The following is a 22351-nucleotide window of genomic DNA, read 5'->3' as shown; positions in this document are numbered from 1 at the left end:
TTTAAGTCATTAAAAAAAAAGTTTCTCTATTGTAGCCACTTCCAAAATAGAGAACCCATGACTATGTCTTAAAGTTGTAGTTTTCAAACTCCAGTTTGCCTGGTAGTCTCCTAGAGGACCTATTAAAACAGATTTCTAGGTCCTATCCGTAGAGTGTCTGAATCATTGTAGCCTGGGAATTTGTATTTCTGGCACATTCCCTGGTGATACTGATGCTGCTGGTCTATGGACCATGATTTGAGAACCACTGCTCTAAAGGAAATTTATGAAGTGATATCACAGAGGAGATATTGAGTAATCTATGGGAAAATTCCTTTAAAAGACGTCCATAGCATATGCAGCAACTATTGCAATGTGAATGCTTCTTCAGAACATTATTAGCAAAAGTCAAGGGCACAGATCCGACTTGTGCTGACATGCTTAGTAATATGGGAAAATTTTGCAGTATAATTAGTCAGCATGATCCTACTATGTAGACTTCTGATATAATACCCTCTTTGTATGTGTGTGTATGTTTACTCAATGGTGGTATTATTTAATATTTTAACTGCTTTTTTGAGGTAAGACTGACATACAAGAAGCCTATACATGTTTAATGCTTCCTACTTTATTTCAAGGAAAGTATTTAGAATTCATAAGGGAATAGGTAATATTTGAATAACATATCACTAAATGTAGATTACTTTTAAAGAAATCTTGTTCTTTATAAATTGGGCTTTTAATTGAAACTGTGATTTAAGACCTCATGCTTCTCTTAATTCGAAAGAAATGTATGGGCCGGGTGGGGTGGTTCATGCCTGTAATCCCGTACCTTGGGAGGCCGAGGCAGGCGGATCACTTGAGGTCAGGAGTTTGAGACCAGCCCGGCCAACATGGTGAAATTCCATCTCTACTAAAAATACAAAAATTAGCCAGGTGTGGTAGTGGGCACCTGTAATCCCAGCTACTTGGGAGGCTGAGGCAGGAGAATTGCTTGAACCCGGGAGGCAGAGGTTGCAGTGAGCCAAGATCACACCACTGTACTCCAGCCTGAATGACAGAGTGAGACTCCATCTCAAAAAAAAAAAAAAAAAGTATGCGTTGACTGCTGAGTGTACACACATGAATGTAAGAATTTGCTTCCTCTACCTCCAAAAATCCCATTGAAATGCTATAGATGAAATGAAGGCTTACTTGTCTAAGAATGAGAGAGGGAACTTCCAGTGGGCCAGTGGAGGTCATGAATATCTGGAGGTGAAAATGAAGATGGAGTCATAGTGACTTCACTTTTTAAACATTTTTATTTTGAAATAATTACTGAGTCATAGGAAATTACCCAAAAAATATACACGGAGTCCATACGGGTTCCATGAAGGCAGTCGCCTTTCATCCAGCATTCTTCAACGGTCACATCTTGTATCACTCTACTACAATATCAAAGGCAAGAAATTGACGTTGGTACCATCACAGAACTTCAGCCATCAGTTTTACCTGATTTATGTGCACTTGGGTATGTGTGTGTAGACATTTGGTTTTATTACATGTACGTGTGTATTTGTATAACCACCACCACAGTCGAGACACAGGACTATTAATATTTCGTCACCATGAAGATCTCCCTTGTGCTACCCATTACAGTCACACACACCCTATGTCACCCCCCATCCCTAACTCCTGGCAACCACTTATCTGTTCTCCACCTATGATTTTGTCATTTCAAGAACGTTATGTCAATGGGATCATCCAGTGTGTAAACTTTTGCCATTAGCTTTTTTCAGTCAACACATTTCCCTTGAAATCCATCCAAGTTGTTAAGCACATCAATATTTGCTCTTTTTTATTGCTGTGTAGTATTCCTTGGCATAAATGTAAAATGTTTTGTTTAATCAATCACCTATTGAAAGACCTTTGGAGGAAGGGGCTGGGAACACCCTGAGGGCAAGGCAGCAATGACAAGATTAAATTTGAGAATTACTCTTTCCCAGAGTCTCAGAATGTATCTGCCTTTGGTTCAGAAGATTACAAAGGGTGAGGGTTGGAAGAGATGCAGGAATCAGGGTGAGTATTGGGAGACCTCTCTAGGACTTTTTTGTGTGTGGGTGTGATATGGTATGGGGTGCCAGGAGCCCATGGTGAAGCACACTATAATCAGACATTTGGGGAGGGGAGCAGTCAGTCTGTTCACTTGCTCTGGACTGGTCCATCCTAAAGTGAAGCCAGCTTGTTCATAGGCCCCAGCTAGAAACTCAGTTCCTGGTCTATCCCCTTATTCAAGGAAGAAGTTTGTTGGGGGCATGGAGCCCACTCAAAGGAAACAGAAGCTTACCTCAGTGACCTATGTTAATTGTTAAAACCTGTATTTATGAATATATACAGACAGTCCAGACCACCAGACATGTGAGGGAAATCAATTCTAAAGGAGGACCAAGATGAACAAACAGAACATTGACTCTGGAAGACAGAAATTAATCAAGGAACAAAAGAGGATTTTAGCAAAGCCTAATTGTATTAGTGATTCTGGCCATTTTTTAAAAGGACAAGCTGCAATGAAAGAGAAGAACTCAAAAATAGAGTTTTTTTAATTAATGTTTCTAAACAGGAGGCAGTTGTGTTCCCCAGTGGACTTTTAACAATGTCTAGAAGACACTTTTGGCTGTGACCAGTGGGGTTGGGGGTGCAAATGGCATAGTGGGCAGACGCCGGGGATGCTGCTCAACATCCTACAATGCACAGGACAGCCCCCAAAACAAAGAATTATGTGTCCTAAAATGTCAATATTGCCAAGATTGAGAACTCCTGCTCTAAATTAAAACTATTATTTCCATAATGAAAGAACTGTTCTTTAACATTTAGAAGAGATACATTACGTCTCTCAGTATGGAAAGCCAAAGATGTAGAGAAAACATGGGAGAACATTTGAAAGACAGAGTATTAATATACGTACTTGGGCCCAATCTCCAACTCCTAGGAGTCCTTCCAAGAGAAAAGAGACAATGGGAATGAGAAAATAATCAGATAATAGAGGACAGTTTTCAGTGCCGAGTTAAGATACCAGGTACAAAGCAGGTGAAAGAAAAACCCACTGCTAGTCTGGAGTTAGTTCAAAATAAACTCTTAACAGTTTCCAGTTTGTTTTTCCATTTTCTCTTTATTGTAATTAACTCTATGAAGAACATCCTGGTAGCCAGATCTTGAGAGCAGACGGCTTGGTTATGGGTCATATAACTCTTACTGATTTAATGTCCTCTTGTTGTTCATGCCTCAGACTTTGGAAGGAATTCATACCCAAACCCTGCTCCATTTTTTACAGTTCTCCCCACCCAGTGTTGTCATGGACAGAAGATTTCATGATCATCTAGGCAGAAGTTGTTTAATTTACAGATGAAGAAGCCAAGTTCCACAAAATACAACTTACTAATCCAAGGCCATGGTGTCAGGAAGTCTGCTTCTCAGATGATGGGCGTTTCAAACAGGGCCCATGCCACTGCAAGCCCACTGTGTGCTGGAGTTTTTTGTCTGAGTCTCGTCTCTATTAATGGGTAGTGCTCAAATTCATAAAGCCTTCATGATTTTTTTTCTGTGCTCTCTCAATAGTCCTTTGTTTATAACTCGACGTGGCCTTGTAGTTTCCCTGAGCACTATCATTATTTATGTACATTGCAATCTTGCGGAGGGTAACTTCTCACCTTTACATAGTACAATTTCACAAAGCAAATAAAGTTGGCCCTCTGTACCTGTGGGTTCTGCATCCATGGATTCAGCCAACACTGATCAAACATACTTGGGGACAAACCCAATAAAAAAATAACAATACAACAATAAAAAATAATACAAATAAAATAATACAGTGTAACAACTATTTACATACCATTTACATTGTATTAGGTATTATAAGTAATCTAGAGATGATTTAAAGACTATTGGCGAGCTGGATGCAGTGGCTCATTCCTGTAATCCCAGCCTCCTGGGAGGCCAAGGCAGATGGATCATTTGAGGCCAGGAGTTTGAGACCAGCCTGGCCAATATGGCAAAACAGTGTCTTTACTGAAAATACAAAAATTAGCCAGGTGTGTTGGTGGGCGCCTGTAATCCCTGCTACTTAGGATGCTGAAGCAGGAGAATTGCTTGAGCCCAGGAGGCAGAGGTTGCAGTGAGCTGAGATCAGGCCACTGCACTCCAGCCTGGGCGATAGAGTGAGACTGTCTCTAAATAAATAAATAAAGGAAAATGAGCGTAGGTTATATGATAACACTGTGCCATTTTATATTAGGGACTTGAGCATCTGCTGATTTTGGTAGCTGGGGAGGGCATCCTGGAACCAATCCCCCTAGGATACCAAGGGATGACATCAGTGTCATCTAGTTAACTGGAACTAACTTAATGTTAACTTCTTCATTAAACAGATATTTAACGAATACCTACTATGTACCAGGTACTATTTAAGAGATATGAACAAGATAGATAAGGTCCTTGCTTTTGTAGAGTTTATATTTTGTCGGGAGACAGACCATAAACAAATAGACATAATATTAGGTAGTTAATGAACACAGAGAGAAAATTAAATCTGGGTGAAGTGTGATTAGCTTGCTGTTTCAAACAGGGCAGGTAGGAAAGGCACTACATCTAGAAATGTCATTTTCAGAGAGAAAATCCATGGTCGTCTTATCACATTTCAGCCACCTTATCACTGAAGATGTAGAAACACGTAATCATTTTTTATTACTTTATCCCTTTTAGTGTTCCTTTTGGGAAAGGTAACTGGAGTCAGAGAATTCCAAGACCTTTTTCAGGACTGGAAAGCGATAAGAGACACTCTGCAGAGCAGCAGAGGTTCTTATCAGAAACGCTATGAACCTCAGAAAGTACCGAGAATTTCACATCAAAACTGCAATGCTTGTGAACGTATCTCCATAAACTTGTTCCTTCAGCCCCACTGTGGTAGGGTGTGTCTGTATGCCCATGAGTGTGCATTTATCTTTTAAGCAAGTGTTTGAGGTTGTACATGAGTGTTAGCTCACTGATTCTTGTCCTTCCCAGCCCATTTTTTACCCCATAACCTCAGCTGATGAGGTCATGGGAAAAGAAGTGGTGCAGAGTACGGAGCAAAGGCCAGTGATGCAGGTCCCCGATGCTCTCCAGGGCTCTTGTGGTGTTCTCATTTTTTAACAAACTGAGATGCAGGTATTCATGTCTTTCCTTTTCCTCCCCTTTCCTTATCCTGTAGTATTTTCCCCTCCATGTGGATATTGTTACTCAAATTTAGCCAAAATTACATTCCATTCAAGAGTTCCTTCTGAAGATTCAAGAGATTCCCACGTCTAGATTGGAGTTTCTTAGAGTTCTCTGCCTGGATATGGATTCCCCCATCATATTCCATGAGACAGCCCAACCTGAGTGTCTTCCAGACCTGAGGTACAGAAACCCAAGTCAGCTTTTCCATTTTATACCCATCTGTCTCTCTCTCACATACTCACCAAAACCTCATCCTGGGCTCCTTACAGCCCGGATACTTGAAGGCAGCCCAATGCTTGCCTTTGTCGTAGAGCTGCAGTCATCTCCTTATTAGTCCCAGGCTCAGGGCCCAACCCGGGAGCAGAGATTCTATTTGAGTTGAGTTGTGCAGACAGATCGCAAAACTTCTTTTCAACAACTCCTCCCTACACTTCCTTTCTCACCTTGGGTTCTTCTTACTCATTCCCAGACATTCAGATTTATTTGCTAATTCATTCATTCTTTGTATTGATTTCTTAGGGCAGCCAAAACAAACTACCACAAACTTGGTGGCTTAAAACTAACAGTTCTGGAGGCCAGAGGCCCAAAATCGAGGTGTTGCCAGGGTTTGCTCCTCTGCAAACCCTGAGGGAGAATCTGTCCCATGCCTCTCTCCTGGCTACTGGTGACTGCAGGCTCTTCTCCATGTTCCTTGGCTTGTAGACTCACCACTCCAATCTCTGTCTCTGTCTTCAAGTCACCTTTCTTCCTTTGTGTCATAAGTCTTTCCCTGCCTTTTTCTTGTAAATATGCCTGTTATTGAATTTAGACACCACCCTAAATCCAGGCCAATCTTACTGAGAGATCCTTAATGATATCTGAAAAGACCTTTTTCTCATAAGGTCATATATTCACTAGTTCCAGGGGTCAGGAAATGAATGTATCTTTGGGGGTGGGGGACACCATTCAATCCACCACATTCATCAACATATATTTATTCCATCACTTCTAGACTATTTTGCTTAGGCTCGAGGAAAATCTCTGTGGATGGAACAATATTCCTGCTTTCACAGAGTGTACAGACCTTGATAGGAGCCAGTGTTTCTCTGGTAATCCCAATGAAAAAGGATGACAGTGACACAAATTGGGACCTTCATGAGAACTGGACATTTGGTCTCCTTGAATGTGCTCCTTTGTGCAGAAAAAACCGAGATTGTGTCACAGCACTCCAGCCTGGACAACAGAGTAAGACTCCATCTCAAAAAACAAACTATAAACTAATTTCCTCCCAAAGTTAGTTCAGCCTACACCCAGGAGTGAACAAGGACAGCTTGGAAGTTAGAGTAAAGATGGAGTTGGTTAGGTCAGATCTCTTTCACTGCCTCAGTTACATTTTGCAATGGTGGTTTGCTCTCATGAGCTAGGCCAAGGCTAGACTTCACCAGATGCTGCATCCGTGTTCAACACTTTGCCCTCCCTAATCTTTGTTTCAAAGAGTGCTCCCTCAGTTAATCACATGCTTCTAAATCCTTGTCTTAGGTTCTGCTTCTAGGGAACCTGACCCTTACGTATGTACATATGCATGAACATGCATACATACATGTACATATGTATGTACTTACAATGACTTTTTAATTTTCAGCTGGAAGTGATGTTTATTGGATCAGTAGTGATGCAGGGGATGGCAGAGGGAGAAAAACTATGATGCAGGGACCATGGCAGCCTCAACAGGCCCCTAAAGCTGCTCTGGAGCTAAGAAGGCCGGGCCTTTATGTTCTTACATTGATCAGTCATTAGGTACAGGCCTCCTGGGAAGGGGCATGACCTTGGGTGAGGCTGCTTTTGGATGTGGAGGTGACCCCTGAAGAGACTGACAGCCAGATGCCTTCTGCTGACTGTACTACCAGTAACTGAGCTAACAAGCCCTTCATGGAAAGGTATTTTGGGCCACATTTTACCATACATCTCAGAGAGAACAGGAAAGGTGGCATCTCTGCCATGCTACATCATATGGGGGTTGTGAGGATCAAAGCAAATAGAACATAGAGGACTTCTGCAAAAGAACCTGGCTTATGGTAAGCCTCCAGTCAATCTTGTTTGTGGTGTTAGCATTTCACAAAATTATTTTAAATATCTCTTTATTTTGCAGGTAATAAAATAGAAGCCTCTGAAGCTAAATAAAATACTTGACCAAGTTCACATAATAAGTTAATGTCAAAGCTATGAATAAAAACCTTTTGTTCTGAAATCAAATCTTACCTTTGTTCCAAACTAGCTTCGCTGTAGCATACAGTATTCGTGGTTTACTAATTCATGTTGTTTGGGGTGGTGTGGGGAAGCTGTAGCTTACTTTTTTAATCCTGCAAGGTCTATTGTAAGAAAATCTCACTCTGATTTCAAGGAGAAAGATGAACTTAGGTAACTTAACTAGAAGATGGGTCAGTGTTTTAAATAAACTTTGTAAAATGAAAAATGTGCAGGCTAAGAGATGCTATCTTCAAGGTCAAACGTCTCTCAACCTTCAATGCATGGAAATTGTGGCATGGGGCTGTTGGAAATTTTACACATTCGTAAATATTGACAGGCTGACAAAGAATTTTAATTTTGAGATGTCTGACTCTGATTATTTCTAAGACATAAACACCTTTCAATTCTCCCCTTAGGCCAAAGATCAAACTTTGGTTGTCGTCTATTAGATAAGGAATCTGACTGTTAGATGTAGTCCAGATTTATACACATTTCTGCCCGGGGAAGCCAACCATTCAGTTGTCAAAGAAATGAGAAAGCTGGCTCTTGCCTGGGACCTCCTTGTTTGTTCTGCTGTGTAATTCTCAACCAAACCCTGAGGGAGCAACTTACATGCTCTGCCTAGGAATCTCCCACTTTGGGTGGAGGTAGGTAGGGTTCTTCTGGGTAACTCTTTTCAAATGCAAAACTTCAGCAGCTTCTCGCTGCACTTAGAACAAATTCCAGACTTGTAACTATGGTCTGCAAGGGCTTATGCAGTCTTTTTCCTCCTCTTTTGCCTTCCTAGCAGGCTCCTTGCTCATTACTCCAGCTGCAATGATCTTTCAGTTCTTCCAAGTCTTCCAGTTGTAGGGATTTTGCTCAAGATCTTCCATCTTCTTGAGATATCCTTCCCCGGACTTGCTTTTTGTCTCAACTGAAAGCTCATCTCCTCCTCGAGGCATTCCTGATCACTCTGGGTCAGCAGTGTTAGTCTATGTCACAGTGAAACTGCCTTTGCAAAAATTATATCAGTGAGAAAATTATGATGGTTAAAGAGATCTGATCTAACTCACACCCCTCTTGCCTTTATCTTTCAAGCTGTCTTAATTATTCCCGGGCTTAGATGAAGCTAACTTTGGAAGACATTTAGGTTATAGTTAAATGATAATAGGCTTCCCCCAAAATACAACCACCTTTGTAAAGCTAATGAAATGCCACCAGGCTAGAGGAAGGACAGGAACCTGAATTCTGCTAAGGTGTAGACATAAACAATTGCCACCCATTATTCTGGAGGTCCTGCAGATAATGTCACTATTGTAAAACACATGATTGGCCTTTTAAGATATCTTTTCAGGTGTTTTTTACATGTCTGATACACATGGCTCTAAGTGGACCCAACTACCCTTCCCTCACTCCTCTTGTGGCCCCACTCAGAAGCAACTCTCTGAGGGAGACACCTTCAACCCCCTGTGATTTTATTTTTACCCCACCTGATCATCAGCAAGCACCCATTACCTGAACACCCCCACCCCTTCGTACAAACTGCTTTGTAAAACCCCTAAACTATGAGCCTGACGTGAAACTGATTTGAGTAATAACTCCATCTCCCATGTGGCATGGTTGGCCTTGCGTCAATTAAACTCTTTACTGCAATGCTGTGGTCTTTATTTGTGCAGCAGACAGGAAGACTCTGCCAGGCAGTTACAACAGTGCTTGCTCTGCTTCATATTTTCCTTCAGGAGTTTTATCCTAAAATGTAAATATTGATCAGCTTTTTAAATTGTCTTGGAAGTAGGGGCCATGCCCGTCTTGTTTCCATCCTCTATTTCCTTCTCTGCTGTTTACTTTTGGGTTATTTAAACATTTTAAAAAAATCTACTGTGTTTTAACCATATATTTTTGTCTGGTTTTTAAGTAGTTGCCCTGAGGTTTATAATTACATATTTAGCTTTTTAACTGTCTACTGAAATTCAACATTTTACCATTTCCAGTGGAATATCAACACTCCTATAAGCATCTCTTTACTTCCCTTTAGGTTATAATTTTTCATCCAGTACATCTATGTATATTGAAAACCCCAGTAAACGGTGTTTAATTTTTGCTTTCCATCTTTTTTCTCAAGCGAAGAATGGTCTATTTACTCTTTCATTTGCTCTTTATTGCTGATGTTTAAAATTTCTATCTGGTATCATTTTCCTTCCTCTTGAGGAGCTTGCTTTAGCAATTTGGTGAGGGCAGATCTGTTGTAAACGATTTTTCTTAGTTTTTCTTCATCTGAGCATGTCCTTATTTCAACTTTATTTCTGAAGGATATTTTTTCTGGATGTAGAGTTTGTGTTGACAGTTCTTTCATTTCAACACTTTAAGAATAGTGTGCAACTACCCTCTGGGCCCATAGTTTTGAAACAGGATTTTTCTCGGCCCCTTTGTTGGGCTCACAGCAGGGACATCCCATCAACTCGACCCATCACGCTCAGCCCCTTGCGGGAGGGAGCACATGAGCTCATGAGTACAGGATTCATCCAGCCACTCTGAGTGCCAACACAGGAGCAAATTCCTTGTCAGCCCACGGCCAGATCAGATGTGTTACCTCCAGGGGAACATGGCGGTGCCCAGGCAGAGGTGCCGGTGACCCCAAAGCAGCAGCGTTAGTGTGCTCTTTAGCTCTTTTAGTTCCACTGTCCACAGCCTGATGGACAGCAGTGTGTTAACAGCTCGGTCAGCCCCTTGCCCTGTTATATGAGGTGCTGCCCTCCACCAGCGAGGCCAAAGGGCCAGTGCTACAGCCTTTCAGAGTACCTGAGCTCAGTGTGTCCCAAGCTCTAGTCCAGAGTCCAAGAAGAATGAGGTCATGTTGATGATTAAAAGGTGATGAGAATGTAAGATTTTATTGAGCAATGAAATGGCTCTCATGAGAGAGAGGAGTTTGTGGGGGAGGGGGGTGGTTGTTCCCCACCCCTGCAGTCAGGTGATTCCTCCCTCTCTGTGTTTCTGGGTCAGAGGCTTATTATTATTATTATTATTTTTCGACAGGGCCTTGCTCTGTCATCCAGGCTGGAGTACAGTGGTGCCATCTTGGCTCACAGCAACCTCTGCTTCCCAGGTTTAAGCAATTCTCCTGCCTCAGCCTCTGGAGCAGCTGGGACTACAGGTGTGTACCATCACGCCCGACTAATATTTTTATATTTTTAGTAGAGATGGGGTTTTGCCATGTTGGCCAACCTGGTCTTGAATTCCTGACCTCAAGTGATCCACCCACCTTGGCCTGCCAAAGTGCTGGGTCAAGGGCTTTTTATGGACTCAGAATGGGGAGTGCATGCTGAGTGGTTTGTATGCAAAAGATTAAAATGAAGACACCACTCAAAGGTGGGCACAACAGTGTAGAAAACCAATTAGGAAAGGGTAGGAAAACGTAAAATAGGTAAAGGGTGGGGATCGACCAGAGGAAAGTATGCCAAATGGGAAGACAAGTTCTCAATCTGGTCTGAGGATTTAACCTGTAGCTTGGCTTTCAGGCTTTAAATTGTCTTTGCCTTGGAGGTGGGGTTTCAACAGGGATCTGCCCCTTTCTGCCTAGGCATTGAGCTGCCTCCTGTAACTATCAGTTTCTAGTGACAAATCTGCAGTAATTTCAATTGCTGTGTCTCTATGGATAATGACTTTATTCTTTTTCCTTAGTTTTTAACTGAGTAAGATGTGTCTTGGTGTGGATTTATTTTGGTTTGTCCTGTTTGGGAATTACTCAGCTTCTTGAATCTGTAGGTTTATGTCTTTCACCAAATTTGGGAAGTTTTCAACTTGTAATCTTCAAATATTTTTTCAGTACTGTATTCTTTCTATTTCCGGGATTTCAGTCACATGAATGTTAAAACATTTATTATCACGTAGATCCATGAGGCTCTATTAAAGTTTTTCAATCTTTTTCTTTCTTTTTAGATTGGGTAAGTTTTTTTGCTCTATCTTCAAGTTCACTGACTCTTTCTTCTGTTATCTTCATTCTATTAAGCCCATTCAGTGAGGGTTTTTTTTTTTTTTAAATCGCAGTTGTGCTTTTCAGTTCTAAGATACTGACTTGATTCTTCTGTATATCCTCTATGTCTTTGCTGAGACTTTCTCTCTTTCCTTTGGTTTCAAAAGCATTTAGAGTTGCTTGCTCAACCAACTGTATTTTTATACTATATTTTAAAGGCTTTCTCAGATAATTTCAACATTTGTATTATATTTGTGTTGATGTCCATTGATTATCTCTTACCATTTGAGTTTAGCCTTTCTTGATTTTTCATTTGTTGGAGTAATTTTAGATTGTATCCTGAACATTTTAAATGTAGTGATAATAGACTCTGGGTCTTTCTAAAATCCTGTGAAGGATGTTGATATTTTTCTTTTAGCAGTCAGTTGGGCTGTCTGAGGCCAGGCCCCAAGTTCTACCTGACATTCTATGGGTTATGATTCCAACATTTGTCCAGTTTTCAAACACTTTTCAGTGCTATTTGGATCTGCCCTGCATGTGCTCCATCTAGTGGCCAGTCTGGATCCTGGAAGGTAGTTTGTTCATTGAACAATGTATCTATGTAGTAGGCTGAGTAGGATCAGATCTGTACATGCACTGTAAGAGAATGAGCCCAAATGTTCATAAACACATTTATGGGTTTGTTTTCTTGAGTTCTACTTTATTTCATGCCTTTAATATTTTCTGTTTCCTGGAAGTTCCTCTTTTTGGCCTTCTGATTACAAAACTAGAAATCGATTATCCCACTCTGGTGGGTTGGTTGCCAGTGGTGGGGATACAGAGAGAAAAATGGAGGTTTTCCCTCAATCTCTTGGGATCACAAGTCCAGAAAACAGAAATTTCTCTCCCATAGAGTTTTGGCTTCTGTGAGTGCCTGTTATTGGAGCTCTTCTGCCACCCTCGCAAAATTGATTTTTATGAAAAAACAATCTTAGTAATAATAACAAAGGAGAGTAGAAAATTTGAGGAGGTCATAAATATGTTGATGGCCTTGATGGTGGTGATGGTTTCATGGGTGTTTACTTTCCCCAAACTCATTAAGATGTTTACACTGAAATGTACAGCTTTTTATGTGTCAGCTAAAAAATAGAAAAAAGAGAAAACCAAATGGGGATTTCTATAGTTTCTTTTGGAGGTAGGAGTTCCCTTCTCAGGTCCTCATGGCTTCTCCTACAGTTTTCTCATCTGTCTCTGCACTGTTGCCCACTACCAGGTCTGGTGTTTAAGTTCAGGCCAAGATATACTAGAGGAAAGAAGATTGAAAAACCCACCTGTGGTTCAGCAGCATTTCAAATTCTGGTCTTCTCCCCCAATCTGTGTGCTGCCATTTCCTTCTCAGAGTCCTCAAATAGCTGCTTTGTGTGTTGTGTCCATGTTTTATTGCTCTATTCAATGGGAGAGGCAGAATCGAGTGTGTTTCTTCATGTTACCTGGAAACAGAAATCCTTAGTTATTGATTTAGGTGAGACACAAAACCTTCTGCTATTTGTGCTGATTCTGTAACCCAAATAGCTGCCTTGTTTTATTCGTGGGGAGCCACTGGAGTTCTAATCCTGGTGCTGGAGTGAGTTGGTCAAGTTAGTTAATGTCTCTGAGGCGTTGTGTACATTGTGAATACTGTAGTATTACCTGCCCAACTTGTCCCCTTCCCATGATTATTGTGATGATAAAAAAAGATGTTGGATGTGACAATACTTTGAAAAGTATAAAGTGGGCTGGGTGGAGTGGCTTACACCTGTAATCCCAGCACTTTGGGAGGCCGAGGTGGGCCTATCATTTGAGGCCAGGAGTTTGTGACCAGCCTGGTCAGCATGGTGAAACCCCATCTCTACTAAAAATACAAAAATGTGTTGGGTGTGGTAACAGGTGCCTGTAATCCCAGGTACTCAGGAGGCTGAGGCAGGAGAATCGCTTCAACCTGGGAGGCAGATGTTGCAGTGAGATGAGATCAAGCCACTGCACTCCAACCTGGGCAACAGAATGAGATTCATCTCAAAAAAAAAAAAGTATAAAGTGGTATATAGAAAATAAATTATCTCCTGCGACCTGCAGAAAGTGATTGATAGGTGTATTCCTGGAATAGGGATGGAGGATCGAGCAGCTGTCTGTCTGTGTTGGGCTGGGAGCACCTCTAGGACTCCCTCATCCCCCGTGTACTCTGTACACAGGCCACCATCCTTCCTCCCTGAACCTCTCTTCTCTCTCAGGTTTCTGGGCACTGTAAGAAGCATTGTTGCTAATTAAAGACTAACAGACCAGAAATCAGGGGATGAAACTCATGATTCTGTCACTGATAATCTCTTCACTTTTCCTCACGGTGTTCCAGTTTCCTCATCTTTAAAATAAAAAGAATCAAAAGTCAACGATTTTCAAGCTCTGTTTTATGGAGTCTTTGTCAACCAGCACTCCCTTAGTAGCGGTGAATGCTTGGGGTGGGGGTCAGGTTGGAGATGGGAGGGCTGAGATGACAGTTTGATTTTCATCTGCTTTCGAGACAGGGTCTTGCTCTGTCAGCCTGATCATGGCTCACTGCAGCTTCAACCTCCCAGGGCTAAATCAGTCCTTCTACCTCAGCCTCCCGAGTAGCTAGGACAACAGGCATGTGCTACCATACCCAGCTAATTTTTGTATTTTTTTGTAGAGATGGGGTTTTGCCATGTCACCCAGGCTGGTCTTGAACTCCTGGACTCAAATGATCCTCCTGTGTCAGCCTCCCAGAGTGCTGCGATTACAGGTGTGAGCCACCATGCCCTACTGAAACATCAGTTCTTCAAGTCTCCAACCCATCTCGTACTGGAGCAGTTCTGCTATTCTCAGGTTTCTCACAGATTTTTCACTTGACAAAAAGGTCCTGTGGCTAAAATATGTTTCAGAACTCTGAGTAGTCCTCAAAGGTAACTATCTCGGGATCCCATACTTTTCCAAGACATCAATTCCCATCCTGTCTTTCTGGTTGTTTCTTTCTCTTTAACACCAACTTCTTTGTCTCCTGTCTTTATGTGTGGACATTCCTTAAGTCTTGGTCCCAGGATTGCAATCTTCTTTGCATAACACCTCTCCCTTGGTGAGCTCATCTAATGTTATAGCTTCAGCTGTCCAACAGGGGACTCCCAGTGTCCAATCTCTTTCCTGAGCTTCAGCCAAATATTTTTAACCATCCTCTAAGTCCCTCCATCTAGTAATATATCAATAGATTCAATTCAGCATGTCTTAAACCAGACTCATATATCATCTGGTCTCTGCCATTCCTAAATTAATACTTTTCTTTAACTTCTCTTTTTCTCAGTGGTCATATCATAAGTTCTTCCAACAACTGAGTTTACAATTTTAGGGTGGTTTTTTATGATGCATTGCCTCTTTGACAATATCCATATAACCTCAAAAGTCTGTTAATCATGCTTCTTCAGTATCCCTCTGAAAGAATTTTTATTTCTGCTGATGTCATTGAGTTCATATTTTATTCTCCTGTATTCTCCTCTTATTCCAAATGTGCAAGATGGCTCCCTAAAGTGATCTTCCTGTCCCCACCGTTCTTTCCCCTGATCACATCATGCTCGGACCAATATCTGAAAGCAAGAATCTTTGTAAGTCATTACGTTGTTAAATGACATCTCTATTGGGTGTAGAATAAAGCCCTGAAGATTCAGACTGCAGCCAGTGTCTTTGCCTTCTTTTACCTTACCTCACCTGCCTCCAATAAATGTATTTCCTCTACACAGATTAGTCCTCTAATTATTTCGCAGACACACCAGGAGTCTTTATTTTCCATTCTTCTTTATGATGATTTTATGAGGCTTACTGCATTCCTCAAAGACAAATTTTCATCCACTCCCTTATGGCATTATCCTGACATCCCAGTCATGGAGATTTTACCTTTTCTTTCAAAGCATTTACTTTGACATAACTTATGTAAACTTATGTTTAGTATCTTTGTGCATGTCTTGCCTCCCAGCCACACTGTAACTTTATCAAAATCAGGAAATGAGTCTTTAATATTCTTGTACCACATCAGAAGGCTTGGGAAACAGGAAATGCTTGGGAATTGAGGAATTGAATCTGTAATATTCTTGTGCCACACCAGAATGCTTGGAAATGCATCAAATTTGTAGAGATAAAATGATTCATAATCTCTTTCATAAGAGCAATTACCATGAATTATCCTAAGTATACTTGTTTACTTTTCTTTCTCTGTGGTTTCACCCATATTGGCCAGAATATGCTTCATGAATTAAACAGGAAGTATTGAACATAAAGTTTTATAAACCAATCCAAAAATTTGATAGCAAGGAACTATTGCAACTTGGGGTAAAATCTTTATAGGCTTCCTTTTTATCTATTTCTTAACAGCACACGTTTTGTGTATTGAAAATCCTGTCTCAGTTACATCCATATAATTATATTCATTAATGGATTAATGCAATGTTGATTGACTGTTTCTTTCAGATTCGTCTTAAATGGTAAGCAAAACTCTTAAGAGACTGGGATTCCTAATGGCATAACTAGCTTCTCAAAGTTTCAGTATATATCATTGGATCTCAAAAGTACTCTTTGATTGACATTATGAAAATATTTACAATAAAAAAATGAAAAATAACTATAATAAGAAAAAGTAGGGGAGTAACTAAGTAATGTCTGGCATATCCACATCACATAACACGGTATTTTTAAATCTTAGCTAAAATTTGTTAAATCATACTGAGTTTTTAATGACACAGATGCATGCCAGCTTTTTGCTGTTGTGCAACTTTTCCATCATTACAGATTGTTGCACTTGACAATGCTGATCTTGGAAATTATTTGAAAGAAATCTGAAAACAATTCCTTTTTCTCAAAAGTATGCCACTGTGTCTTCCCCATTTATATGTGACATCAGTAAGCAAAATGGCAAATTGCATTACACCCTTGTTCAGCACTCTCAAGCTTGGATTATATAGTGACACTGCTACTTCTTTCATTGCTCTGCTATTTCTGTAACAGTTATCACTGACAAAGAATGTTATTTACTTCAGAAGTTACTTCCTATCTTTGATAAATATCAATTGTTTTTCTCAAGGATATCAGTTATGGAGATAACCATAGCCAATAAAAACCACTGCTCTGTATGAAATGCTCACTGTATGCTAGAAAATACGTGGCTGGTATCAAGTGCACATGCGGTGTCACAAAAATAACAGTTTCAACTTTTGCATAGAATGAGTAATGGCAATTCTCCTCCCAACACACTGTACTCTACCTAGACTCTTTAGTGGTGTGCAATTCATCAGGACTTTTGAGGCACATGGCAGAAGGCAGCATTTCATTTTGATTGCTGGATGTAGTTTCCAATGAAAATTAAAGATTAATGATGTGAGTATGTAAAAGTCAATAAGAAGAAAAGGCCAGGACTCTAAAACATTTGTAAACAGTGTAAAGCTTTGTACCAATCAAATGGCTGCAGACAGGGAAAGCTAATACCGACGCAATAAAAACCGAGCGCTAACCTTTCATTGTGTCTGGTGCTGAGCTTCTAGCATTTGATGAATGGCTACCTTGTGCCAGTGGGTCATTTGGGAGTGTCTGGGTCTTTCATGTGGTTGAGACAGCTGTGGGCAATCTGTGGATATGGATCACCCTGCTGAGAGACGCAGCTACGTGTGAAGGCAACACTGCACTTAGGAGGAGTCAAAAAATAGATTAATATCAAGTACCAATTTACAACGTGGATGAAATCTTTGTGGGATTTTCAACTCAACAGAAATTGTCTCATTGGCTTTTGATGTCTCCTTGAAATGAGATCATTTTGTCTCCAAGCTGGTATTTACATGTGGGTAATTAGGTTTCCTATTCATCACTTCCATCATCCTCATAAGTTGTATGAGATAGGTGTTGCTTTTGCTGCCTCATCTTCTTACAAAGGCTCAAAGAAGCTCAGTAACTTGTCTAAAGTGGCAGAGCTAATAAATTGCTGAGCTGGGACCTGAACCCAGGTCTGTCTGATTCCATAGCTTGAGCTGTCATGCAATGGAAGGTGAACTGTAGCATTTGGTGAATGTAAAACTTCCTGTTTGCTTATATTAAAGGCTATTGCTATTTTTTTTTTAATTAGGGGAGACTGGGTGGGGGGAAGGGTAGAGTGTGTCTCAATTCCGAAATTCAAAAAGGGCCACATAGGAATCTCTATTCCTCTTGCCCTTTTGGCATAATATCCCCAGTTGTAGCAGGAACCAGTAGAATGGGTTTCCCTTCATTGTTTTTGAGAAGGAAATGCCTGTTGAACTTTGACAACAATGTTAACGATTGCCAGAGACCCTCAATTTATTATTCATCTCTCAGGAATCCTATGGAAATTTCCTTTGAATACTCTTTCCTCATCAATATTAATAATCGCATGATGTCGTGCATGCTTTGTGTTCGTCAAAATGCCATTGTGCATGTGACCTCATTCCATCTTTAATATTTTATTGGAAGCTTTCTACATGTTAAGCACTGTGTTAGATGCAGGAGATATCAAAAGATGTATAGCACAACTTCTTCCTCAAGAGTTGAGTCTGAACTCTAACCTGATGTCATGAAGTAGACCAGATACCTTCCCCATTTTATACACTATTATTTTCCACAGCATAACCTTCTGTCCTCACCTTCTACAAGTTCCTTGTCATATTTTTTACTCTATCAGTGTTATTTTTTTCAGGTTGGTTTGTTTGTTTATTTGTTTTTAAACAGATAGTCTTGCTCTGTTGCCCAGGCTATTGTGCAGGGGTGCAATCATAGCCTACTGCGGCCTCCAACTCCTGGGCTCAAGCAATCCTCCTGAGTAGCTGGGACTACAGGTGCATGCCATCACGCTCAGGTAATTTTAAAACTATCTTTTGTAGAAATGCTGTATTGTCCCAGCTGGTCTGAAACTCCTGGCCTCAAGTGATCTTCCAATATTCTTATATTTACTCCTCCTTAAATATTAATGAGCAACTAAACATTCTCACATTCATCTCCAAGGTTTTTCTCATGCTTCATCTCTTCTTGACCTACTTTTCTGTATGTCCATATTGGACCCATCCATAAACCAAGGTAGAGTCTCCTCTCCTCCTTGACAGCTATTCAGGAATCAGGCAACCTCTCCCCTCTTTCAATTTTCACTTCAGTTATTGTCACCATCTTACATTTGATACTTGGAATATAGTGTACTTTGATATAAACACATTTTTCTTCTGTATGTAATTGGTCTCATGGCCTATCTATAAATACAGAAAGATCATCGATAGGTATTCTAAATAAATAAAAGTACTGTGCAATATGCATGATATTTGCTAAAAAGAATACTAGGAATAATGTGGAGCTTGTAAATTGGAGATCGCTGCCAGATTTAATACCAAAATATGTATTGTTGAGCTAGTAAAATACTGGCATACATAGTTTTTCAAAAGTTTTAATTGATTGTCAGTATCTAAGTACTGGAAGATCTGACATAGCATTCTAAATTTCTGGCTTCATTTGAAAACTCAGAGGCAATGTTTGGCCTACTTTTTGCATGGTAACTGTAAGCTGAGGCCAAGAAGCAACTGCCATTGCCTCCTCAATGTTTGGGTGGATGAGAGTCAGTTTCCCATTTATCACCATTCTCATTCTAATTATTTCTCACAACAGTGTTAAAAGGAAAGTGAAGGCTGGGCATGGTGGCTCACACCTGTAGTCCCAGCACTTTGGGAGGCTGAGGTGAGCAGGTCACTTGAGGCCAGGAGTTCAAGACCAGCCTGGCCAACATGGTGAAACCCTATCTCTACTAAAAATAAAAACTAGCCAGGCATGGGGGTGCATGCCTGTAATCCCAGCTACTCAGGAGGCTGAGGCAGAAGTTTCACTTGAACCCAGGAGACGGAGGTTGCAGTGAGCTGAAATCGCACCACTGCACTCCAGCTTGGGTGACAGAGTGAGACCTGTCTCCAAAAAAAAAAAAAAAAAAAAAAAAAGGAAAGAAAAGATAAGAAAGTGATGTATTTCCTGTTACCTATGGCTTTGTCTCAGGGAACAAAAAGTTAGCATGAAAGGGCTGGTTTTCAAGAAAAATGAGAGGAAGCATTATTATTGTTTGGGGACTGAAGTGGAAAATAGAACTGTGAGTTAATAGTTTGTTTAATAAGAAAACAAAACAAAACATAAGTGGCTATGATGGGATAAACCTGGCCCATTGTAATTTTTGTCATCCTAGCCCTTGCAGACATTTGTGTTTGCTTTTGACCCTTGGATCAGGGAAAGGTCAAGGACCTAAAGGTGGGCTGGGCCGAAGTCCTGGCTCTGGCCTTCACTAGTGTTTGACCTGGGTGGGTTAGGGCTAACCACACTTTTCCTCTCTCTAAAATGGGAATAATGATATCTGCTACATGGTGATAAATTGAGCTTAAAATGAGATGCATAACAGGGGACTTTTGTCTGTTTTTGGTAACCCTAGTGCCTGCAACAGTGCCACAGTGCCGTGTGCATGCTTGGGGCTTAATAGACATATATTGAATAGACAATAACATCTGTAAAGCACAATGAACTTTGCTCATAGGAGGCCATTAGCGAATTTGAGCATGTTGTTAAGGAGCTAATCATACTTGTTAAGTGTAGAGACTATTTGGTCTTTTTTTTTCCCAGCACCTAGGCCGCCGTAGAGCCGGTCATTAATATTTATTTGCAGAATGAATAATGTCTGATTGTCCGTCATTTGGTAATCTTTCTTAAAGAGAGTGGCACTGGGGACATCTGGCTGCTATTTTGGTGTGGGTTTTTTTACCTCCTTGAGATACAAGGATTGTCTTGTTGTTCCATGTGGCGTAGGCCTAATATTTTTCTTTCTTTTTACGGTTTGGTATATGGCTAGCGGAGGGTGGTATCTTCTTAAGAAAGTTTATTTCACTTTCTGAAGGTGTTTTTCATTTTCCCAGCTGCCCTTCACTTCCCCCTACATGCCGTTTGCACAACTTCCCAGCTGGCAGATGTGAAGTGGATAACCTTGTAGCAGTCACCAGCATCTTTAACAATGAAGGGTCACAGGGAGCAGGTTAACACTCAGCGTTGTGGGGTTTATTATTACATCCAAGCTCCAGTATGGTTTTACCAGAGAGCCAGTCTTTTTTTTTTTTTTTTTTTTTTGAGACGGAGTGTCTCTCTTGTTGCCCAGGCTGGAGTGCAGTGGTGCAATCTCAGCTCACTGCAACTTCCACCTCCTGGGTTCAAGCAATTTTCCTGCCTCAGCCTTGTGAGTAGCTGGGGTTATAGGTGCCTGCCACCATACCTGGCTAATTTTTGTACTTTTAGTAGAGACACGGTTTCTCCATGTTGGCCAGGCTGGTCTTGAACTTCACAGGTGATCAGCCTGCCTCGGCCTCCCAAAATGCTGGGATTACAGGTGTGAGCCCCTGTGCCCGGCCACCAGAGAGCCAGTCTTGGGCGGTGCAGCCAGGCCGGCCATTATTTTGCAATCTTGGCTATTCTCTGGTGTCTTTTCCTACTCGACATTAAGGAGTGGTTTTTCAAATAAAGGTTTCATTGACAAGTTTGTAAAAAGGAAAACAAAAATGAGTTAAAAGTCTGCCTCAGCGTCGCATGCTTAGGACAAAGCCCATATTGACTTACGTAACTTTTAGAGGCTTTGTAGTTAGCTTTCCAGCTCTCTCACGTTCATTTCGTGCTTTGACTTTGATCTTCAGAGCTTGGGGCTCAGTGGAGGTTAGCGAAATGGGGCATATTGGGTGCCATGCATTGTGTTGGAAACTTTCACAAATGCTGACTTGTTTATTCATAGAAGTTGCCAGCATCATAATGGCCCATGACAACTTATGCAAAACAACTTTGGGTTCTCCTCTGCACCACGGTTGCAATTCAGTTTCATTGTCTCCCCGGGAAATACACTCCAGACTCTTGGGGATTGTATGATAGGCTCATTGGAATAATTGATTTCTTAAAGATGAGTAGTTATTCTATTGTTTTTATATATCATCCTCAAAGTATGTGGTAATTGTGGTGGCGTTTGTACAGTTTGTATGGTCAGGAATGTTTGTGAGGCATTAATTGAATATTTCTTATGAATATTGACTGTGCAAGGTCTCCTGAAGGCAAAGAAAAACAGTAATGTGAACGCATAGTAGGTAGTCAATGAATGTTTATTAGCTAAGACATTCTTTTTTTAATTGATTGATACATACTTTTAAATAATGTGTTTTCTTTACTGTAACACTAATGTATGTTGCTTGTGAATCACCTGGCATATATAAAATATGTGTTTATTAAATAAACAACGATTCATTGGATACTTACTGTGTTCCAGGCTGTGTTCTGGGCATCAGGGATACAACCATGAACAACAGACAGAGTCTGTTGTGGAGTTGTGGGGTTGACATTCTTATGGCGGTGAAACACAGAATAATTCTGAGTTGTACATCTATGCCTTTTTTTTCTCCTGTTCTTTGCTTAAGTGCCATAAAACAAAACAAAACTAAGAGTTGAGGTAGAGACAACAAGGTAGCCGCATACCCTTCAAGTAACTACTGTGAATATCTTTGCACATTTTCATTTGGTGATTTGCCTATGAATTGTGTGCAAGTGAATATATGCGAACATCTGGGTTCCATTTGGTTTCATTTTATTTCAATTAATGACCCATGTTAGGTTGTCGAACAAGGTGGACGTGTGAACGCCAGCTTGTGTTTTCATGCTTTTCTAGATGAGAGGAGGCAAGGTTTCCAGCGAGGTACCTTTTCCCCTCTTGATTTACCCTCTTCCTCAAGCCCCCTATCCCAGAAAGAAACCTGGCCTGGGCCCAGTGCACCTGGGACAGGCAACCTGGGGCACGCTAAGCCCTGACTCCACAAACATGCTCTCCCCACTCCGTCTTGATCTCCGGATTGTGGTCCTGCCATGGCTGTTTTCAGCTGAAATAGCATGAAAAATGAGTTTTTGTGGTGT

At 40.8% G+C, this 22351-nt stretch overlaps 1 long non-coding RNA gene across 1 annotated transcript; it reads right to left on the bottom strand.

Moving 5' to 3' along the window:
• Nucleotides 1-1264: 1264 nt before the first annotated feature.
• On the bottom strand, nucleotides 1265-21058 carry LINC02131 (long intergenic non-protein coding RNA 2131). Its single transcript, NR_184319.1, has 3 exons — nucleotides 21023-21058; nucleotides 12700-12858; nucleotides 1265-1406 (listed from the first exon to the last, which is right to left on the bottom strand). It is a non-coding gene; the product is annotated as a long intergenic non-protein coding RNA 2131 (long non-coding RNA).
• Between the last annotated feature and the right edge of the window lie 1293 nt (nucleotides 21059-22351).

The sequence above is a fragment of the Homo sapiens genome, chromosome 16, assembly GCF_000001405.40.
Source record: "Homo sapiens chromosome 16, GRCh38.p14 Primary Assembly".
In the NCBI taxonomy this organism is placed as follows: domain Eukaryota; kingdom Metazoa; phylum Chordata; class Mammalia; order Primates; family Hominidae; genus Homo; species Homo sapiens.
The sequence above is the reverse complement of the archived record's forward strand: the minus strand, read 5'-3'. Positions and strand labels throughout refer to the sequence as shown.